An 8,465-nucleotide genomic window follows, 5' to 3' on the forward strand; every position below is an offset into this window, starting at 1 on the left:
ACTTACTAGTTATGTAAATATGGCCAATAAACTCAATTTTTAAAAACCTTAGGTGGACTATAGGTTAAAAATAGAACCTCATCAGAGACAGATTTTGTGGCTTAAATGTGACAATGCTCATGAACTGTAAGTTTGTAATCCCCCACAGAGACATAGCAAAAGATATATTACTTATTAAAAATCAAGTTGTATTTTTATAGTTTGGCACTTTTGTTTCTACACTTATCCAATTAATGCATTCGGTATATTCTACCTCCCTAATTTCATTCATACTTGCTTCTTTCTACTTTCCACTTTCAATGTTATTATTACAGCCACATAATCATGGAGCGTCAGCACTGGCCAGGTATTAGAACACAAGTGCAATCTCTGTGTATTCCTATGATAAAATTGATGAACAAATAAATGATATAATTTAGCCATTGCTACAAAGCTAAATAATAGTTAGTTTAAATTTGATTCTTAGGCTCCTAATTTAATACAGTCCCTTTTGCTTGCATAAAAAATATCTTTCTTGAATTCCCCTCTTGTCAGTTGTTTCCCTTTTAAGTATTTTTCTCCCTTGACATACTGGTTAGTCATTCTTAATTGCAGTTTTGATCATACAATTACCTTGCTCATATATAAACTTTCCTTTAGAGTAAAACAAGAGTCCAGCTATTCACTAGCTTGCACAGCTTCATATTACCTTTACTTTAGTTTTCAGTTTGTTTAGTTTAGTTTTCGTCAAAGATACTTAACCTAAGTTGAGATAATATCTATTTCTATTGTGGGGATCAAATGAGATAAGATATCTAAAACCATAAACATAGAGTCCTGTATCTCAGGTCACTTCTGTTTTCACTCACATCTGTGATCAAAAATTCCTTGGGTTCTCAAATTCAAGCAGAGGACACCTTATTCCAAGCACAAAATGCAGCTCAATCTTCTGCCTTAGGACACCTTATGAGGCAGGAACTGCATATGAGTAAGTGCAGCAGGAACCTATGGGTATGTTAATGCCACCAAATGGGGGTATCAGAGAGTCGACTGGTAATTTCCTCATTCTCACGTTAATCATGCAGACAATCCTCAGAAGGATTCTGCATGGGTTTCAGAAGTCACAGTAGAGTGAAACCCAGGTGCATGCAGTAGCAAACTGGAGAAAGCACGGGTTTTCCTTCGTCCTTGTTCCCTCACTCTTTCCCCGAGGAATCTTCTCTCAAACTACCTGCCTGCAAGCCCTGTCTCGGGCTCTATTTCTAGGGGTAACCTGAAGGAACATACTGATATATCATAGGTAGGCGAGTGACAGATTGCTTTTTACTTGTTCTAATGCATTTAAACTCCATTGCCTACCAAAGTAAGTGTAATTTCCTCTTCCTGGCAGTTAAGGTCATCCACAAATTGGCCACCAATTTTTCGAATCACACATTATGATACAGTATTTCTCTACAGGAACATTACTTGGCTGCAGACTGTTCCTTTAATGCATTTCATGTTTCACCCAGTTGTGCTTTTCTAAATGATCTTTCAACAGCTTAAGATGCTCTTTATCCCATTTTTGTGCATCAAAATTTTGTAGTCGTCAGGATTTTTATCAAATACTATCACCTTCATAAAGCCTTTCCAGATCCTTTCCTGTGAAATGTACCATTTCCTGTGGGGTTCATTTGGACACTAAGAGTACTTTATTTGTGTTCCTTAATTATCTTTACATTAAATTATAAGCTAGGATATTCTTGTTTTCTAAAGTTTACTAAATTTTAAACCTCTTACTGTGCCCGAATAATCCTAAAGGTTTCAAGTCTGTTACTGTGCCTGACACCTTAACTTAGTGTGTATGCGTGTGTAAATGTGTGTATCCTCTGTATATCTATCGAGTGGATATAATTTTATATGTGCTAATTGCAGAAAATCTCAAAGAGTCAATAAGCAAAAGAAAAATAAAATAGCCTCAAGTATCTCATGCCAGAGAAAACCTCTATCAATATTTTGCTACCCTGTATTTTTAAATTGTTTAATTAATGATAATATTATTTTACCATCCTATTTTAAAATTAATAATGCCTATATCATTGATAGGTATTCATTATAATGGACAGAAAATAAACGACAAGGAAAAATCTGTTAATATTTGAGGAGTTCTAGATTCAGAAATATGGGAAAAAACACTTTTAAAAATATATATGAAATACAACATTCTTACAATACGTACACGTGCGAGGGGTACTCCTGATTTTTTATGAAGTTCACTTTTTCTTGTAATTTGCCTTGCTGTTTCTCCATCCTACTTCACAAATGCAGCCGTTTCTCCTTATTTTGGATTTGTGACTTTTTAGGTGTTATATAACTATAGCCTTGTTTATACCACAGTCACTGATCCCCACCATACACTTTGAGTTGTCTACGATGTTGAATAAGTTATGACAGTAGCCAAACCCTTCCCCTACATTCTTAAGGGGAAAGTGTTCAGTCTCTTATGATTAAGTGTGATGTTAGTTGTGGGATTTTATTTTTTTAATATTTTTTAACTAACATAAAATTGTATGTTTTATCATGTACAGCAAGTATGTGTAGATTGTGGAATGATTAAATCTAGCTAGTTAACAAATGCGTTCGCTGTCATAGGTATCCTTTTTGTGGTAAGAACACTTAACATTCACTGTCTTTGCATTTTCTTAGGTACCCTTTATCAGGTTAGAAGTAGCCTCCTATGTCTAGATTACTGAGAAATTTTAATCATATATGAATGTCAAATTTTCTAAAATGCTTTGTCTGCACCTATTAAGGTGATTGTTTGACTTTTTGTTTTTTGTTTTTTAATAGGATGAATTACCCTGGGATGAATTACACTGGGATGGATTACACTGGGATGGATTACACTGGGATGAATTACACTGGGATGAATTCATGGGCAGGAAAAAATTCTCTGTTGGTCACAATGTATTATTATTTTTACATATTATGGGATTAGATTTGCTGAAATTGTATTTTGCATCCTTGCATTGATTTATACACATAAGTTGTTTTTTATAACCTATTACATAGTATTGTGTTTTTATTTTTATTTTATTTGTCAAGGGTGTGTGTGTGTGTATGTGTTTAATCAGGCTAACGCTAGATTCATAAAAGTTAAGAAATATTCAGTACCTCTTTGTTGGGCTGTATGTAGAATTGGTGTTGTTTCTTTCTTAAATACTTACTATATATTGACATTAATATTGGCTGGGTGCGGTGGCTTACACTTGTAGTTCTACACTTTCGGAGGCTGAGGCCAGAGTATCACTTGAGGCCAGGGGTTCAAGGCCAACCTGAACAACATAGCAAGACCCTATCTCTACAAAAAAAATTGTTTAAAAAATTTCCCTTGTGTGGTGGCAGGATAAAGTGGGAGGATTGCTCTAGCCCAGGAGGTCAAGGCTGCAATGAGTTGTAATTGCACCACTGCCTTCCAGCTGGGGTGACAGAACTTAAACCCTGTCTCAAAAGACAAACAGAAAACATTAATATAGCAAAACTACAAAATATTCAGTGTATTGGTAAAATTCTCCAATAAGCCCATGTGGTCCTGGAGTTTTTTGTGTGTAAAGGTATACAACTAAAATTTTAGATTTAATAGGGCCAGGCACGGTGGCTCACACCTGTAATCCCAGTACTTTGGGAGGCCAAGGGTGGGTGGATCACGAGGTCAGCAGATGGAGACCATCCTGGCTAACACGGTGAAACCCCGTCTCTACCAGAAAATACGAAAAATTAGCCGGGCGTAGTGGTGGGCGCCTGTAGTCCGAGCTACTCAGGAGGCTGAGGCAGAAGAATGGCATGAACCTGGGAGGCGGAGCTTGCAGTGAGCCCAGCTCGCGCCACTGTACTCCAGCCTGGGTGACAGAGCCAGACTCCGTCTCAAAAAAAAAAAAAAGAAAAGAAAAAAAATTGGATTTAGTATATATATATATGGTTACTCAAATTCTAATTTTGTTCTTAGTAGAGTGTTTTGGTAAGTTGTATTTCAAAGAATTTGTCCACTTTAAGCTATCAAATTTATTGCCATAAATTATTCATAATATGTTATTTATCTTTTTAAAATGCATGTTCTGTGGTAATAGACTTTCCTCATTCCTAATATTTAATTCTTTCTTCCCTTATTTTTGTCTGTCAGCCAATAGATGTATCAAATGTATTGATGTCCTAATGAATAGACCCTTTATTATCATGAAATGACCCTGTTTATCTCCAGTAATATTTGTAACTCTGAAATATGTCTAATATTAATATAGCCACTCTACCTTTCTTTTTTACATAAACCTTTTTATTCTAAAGTAAGTTTGATTTAGATAAAAATTGCAAAAAATTCTATAAATTACTGCATACATTTCACCCAGTTTCCCTATTGTTACTGTCTTAAATAACCACGGTATATTCGTCAAAATTTAAATACCAGTATTTATACTGTCTTTGTTAATGATTAGCGAAACTCCAGAATTATGCATGTTTAACTCGGTATTTTCCTAATATCTTTTTCTCCAGGACACGATCCCAGACACCTGCATTTAGCTATTACGTATCCTTAGGATCCTCTAATCTGTAACACTTTCTCAATCTTTGTTTTTCCTGACCTTGGGAGTTATAAGGAAATCTAGTCAGGTATTTGTAGAATGTTCTTCACTTTGAGATTGTCTGGTGTTTTCTTCAACGATTATACTGAAGTTATAGATTGTGGGAAAGAATACACAGGGGTGAAGTAACATCATAGGATTGCTTTGGCTATTTGCACTTTTTTGTTTTTACATGAATTATAGAACAGCTTTTTTTTCTAATTTTGTTAAGAATTACTTTGGTAGTTTGATAGGAATAGAGTTGAATCTGTAAATTGCTGTGGGCAGTAGTGCTATTTTAGTGACATTGAGTTTTTCGATTCATGAGCATGGAATTTTTTAAATTTATTCATGTCATCTCTGATTTCTTTCAGCAATGTTTTGTAGAACTCCACATAGAGATCTTTCACCTCTTTGGTTAGATGGATTCCTAAATATTTCATTTTCTTTCTGGTTTTTGTAAATGAGATTGTGTTCTTTATTTGACTCTCAGCCTTGATGTTATTGGCGTATAAAACTGCTACTGGTTTTTGTACATTGATTTTGTATGCTGGAACAAAATCAAACAAAAATTTTAGTGAGCTAAAAATCAGTTATCAGTTCTAGTAGCCTTTTGCCAGAGTCTTTAATATTTTTGAGGTATAAAATTATATCACCAACAAAAAGAGATCATTTGACTTCTTCTGTTCTTATTTGGATGCCTTTTATTGCTTCCACTTGCCTGATTGCTCTGGCTAGGAATCCAGTACTATGTCGAATAGGAGTGTTGAGAGTGGGCATCCTTGTCTTGTCTCAGTTCTCAAGGAGAATGCTTTCAGCCATTGACCATTCCATATGATGTTGCCTGCGGGTTTGTCACAGAGGGGTCTTATACTTTTGAGATATGTTCCCTTGGTGTCCAGCCTGTTGAGGGTTTTTATCATGAATGGATGGTGGATTTTATTGAAAGTGTTCTGTGTTTATTGAGGTGATTACAGAATGTTTGCTTTTAATGTTATCTATGTGGTGAATCACATTTATTGATTAGTGTATGTTAAAATAGTCTTGTATCCCAGGAATATAGCCTACTTGATCATGGTGGTTTAACTTTTTGTTGTGCTGCTGGATTCACTTTGTTGAGGATTTCTGCATCTATATATATCAGGTATATTTGCCTGAAGTTTTCCTTTTTTGTTGTGTTTCTGCCAGATTTTTGTATCAGGCTGATACCAGCTTTATAGAATGAGTTAGAGAGGATCCCTAGTTCCTCAACTTTTTGGAATAGTTTCCATAGGATGACTATCAGTTCTTCTTTGCACATCTGTAGTATTTGGCTATGAATCCATCTGGTTCACGAATTTTTAGTTGGTAAGTTTTTTATTACTTATTCAATTTCAGAGCTCAATATTTGTCTATTCAGGGTTTCAAACTTCCTGATTCAATCTTGGGAGATTGTTTGCTTCCACGAATCTATCCATTTTCTCTAGATTTCTGCATGTGCATGCATAGAGGTCCCCATAGTATTCTCTGAAGATCTTTTGTATTTCTGTAGGATCAGTTGTAATGTCATATCTGTCATTTCTAATTGTACTTATTTGGATCTTCTCTTTTATATTCTATGTTAGTCTAGCTAGTGGTCAATCCATCTTTTTTATTTTTTCAAATAACCAATTATTGGTTTCATTTATCTTTTGTATGACTTTTTGCATCTCAATTTCATTCAGTTCTTTTCTTATTTATTTTATTTTCCTTGCTTTCAGTTTGTTCATCTTTTTCTAGTTCTTTTAGGTGCTAAGATAGTTAATTTGAGATCTTCCTAAGATCTCGATGAAGGCATTCGGTGCTATAAGCTTTCTTCTTAACGTTGCTTTAGGTGCATCCTAGAGATGTTGGTAAGTTGTGTCCCTACTTTCATTAGTTTACAACATGTTTTATTTCTGCCTTAATTTTAATGTTCACCCGGGAAGTATTCAGGAGCACCTTGTTTAATTTATATGCATTTCTGTAGTTTTGAGAGGTTTTCTTAATATTGAATTCTATTTTTGTTGCACAGTGGTCCAAAAGTGTGCATGGTATGATTTCACATTTTTTTAATTTATTGAGACTTGCTTTATGTCTGAGCATGTGGTCAATTTTATAATATGTTGTGTGTGCAGATGAGAAGAATGTATACTCCCTAGTGCTGGGAGGAGTACTCTGTAGATGTCTAGTAAGTCTAATTGGTCAAATGTCAAGTTTATTAACTAATTAATATATTTATTTTTATTTCTATAGGTTATTGGGGAACAGGTGGTGTTTGGTTACATGAGTAAGTTCTTTAGTGGTGATTTGTGAGATTTTGGTGCACCCACCACCCAGGCAGTACACACTGCACCCTATTTGTAGTCTTTTATCTCTCAGCCCCTTCCCACCCATTCCTCTGAGTCCCCAAAGTCTATTGTGTCTTCTTATGCCTTTGCATTCTCATAGCTTAGCTCCTACTTATGAGTGAGAACATAAGACATTTGGTTTTCCATTTCTGAGCTACTTCACTTAGAATAATAGTCTCCAATCTCATCAAGGTCTCTCCAAATTCCAGTTTAAGTGCATAATTTATTAGTTTTCTGTCTTAATGATCTAACAATGTCAGTGGGGTGTTGAAGTCCCCCACTATTATTGTGTGTTTGTCTTAGAGCTTTTGTCATCCTGGAAAAACTTGTTTTATGAATCTCGGTGCCCCAGTGTTGGGCAGTTAGAATAGTTAAGTCTTCTTGTTGTATTGTACCCTCTACCATTATGTAATGACCTTCTTTGTCCTTTTTTAAAGTTTTACTAGTTTAAAGTTTGTTTTATCTGACATAAGGATAGTGATGTCTGCTCTTTGTTTTCCGTTTGCATGGTACATCTTTCTTCATTCCTTTACTTTGAGCCTACGGATGTCATTAAGCCATGAGGGATGGGTCCCTTGAAGGCAGCAGATGATTGGATCTTGTCTTTTTTCCAGCTTGTCACTTCATGTCTTTGAAGTGGGGTGTTTAGGTCCTTTACATTTAGGATTAGTGTTGATATGCAGGATTTTGATCCTGTCATCATGTTGTTAGCTGATTGTTTTGTAGACTTGATTGTGTTGCTGCTTTATAGCAAGTATGGGCTATGTGGGCCTCAGAATCATGAAAGGCAGTGAAAGGCACTTCTTACATGGTGGTGGCAAGAGAAAATGAGGAAGAAGCAAAAGCGGAAACCCCTGATAAACCCATCAGATCTCATGAGAATTATTCACTATTGCGAGAATAGCATGGGTAAGACCGTCTCCCATGATTCAATTACCTCCCCTGGGTCCCTCCTACAACACGTGGGAATTCTGGAAGATACAATTCAAGCTGAGATTTGGGTGGATATACAGTCAAGCCATATAAGACTGTTTTTAAATTGGTCTATTACTTACCAGGTTTCACCCCCTGCCTGCTCTCTTTCAGTTTTCTTTTCTAGGCCTCTCAACTTGACTTCCAAATTTTCAAAAAATTATCTGGTTTTTGTTGTAAGAAAATTCTCAACCTTGTAGCCTTGTATGTGAGGATTGCTCCCCTGGATTTCTTATATTAGAAAACGAGCTGAAAAATAGTTTGGCCTATGTTTTAGTCAGGGTTCTCTAGAGGGACACAACTAATAGGATAGATGTGTATATGAAAGGGAGTTTATTAAGGAGCATTGACTCACACAATCACAAGGTGAAGTACCACAGTAGGCTGTCTGCAAGCTGAGGAGCAAGGAAGCCAGTCTGAGTCCCAAAACCTCAAAAGTACGAAAGCTGAGAGTGCAGCCTTTAGTCCGTGGCTTAAGGCCCAAGAGACCCTGGCAAACCATTGCTGTAAGTCCAAGAGTCCAAAAGCTGAAGAACTTGGAGTCTGATGTTCCAGTGCAGGAAGCATTCAG

At 35.9% G+C, this 8,465-nt stretch overlaps 1 annotated feature.

Moving 5' to 3' along the window:
* Nucleotides 780–1,301: an enhancer, noted in NCBI's record as "OCT4-NANOG hESC enhancer chr18:69758554-69759075 (GRCh37/hg19 assembly coordinates)". NCBI's record gives its function as "activates a minimal SCP1, AML or CMV promoter by ChIP-STARR-seq in naive H9 embryonic stem cells {active_cell/tissue: H9 hESC(naive)}" and the evidence as "EXISTENCE:reporter gene assay evidence [ECO:0000049][PMID:30033119]".

Source organism: Homo sapiens, chromosome 18, assembly GCF_000001405.40.
Source record: "Homo sapiens chromosome 18, GRCh38.p14 Primary Assembly".
NCBI lineage: Eukaryota > Metazoa > Chordata > Mammalia > Primates > Hominidae > Homo > Homo sapiens.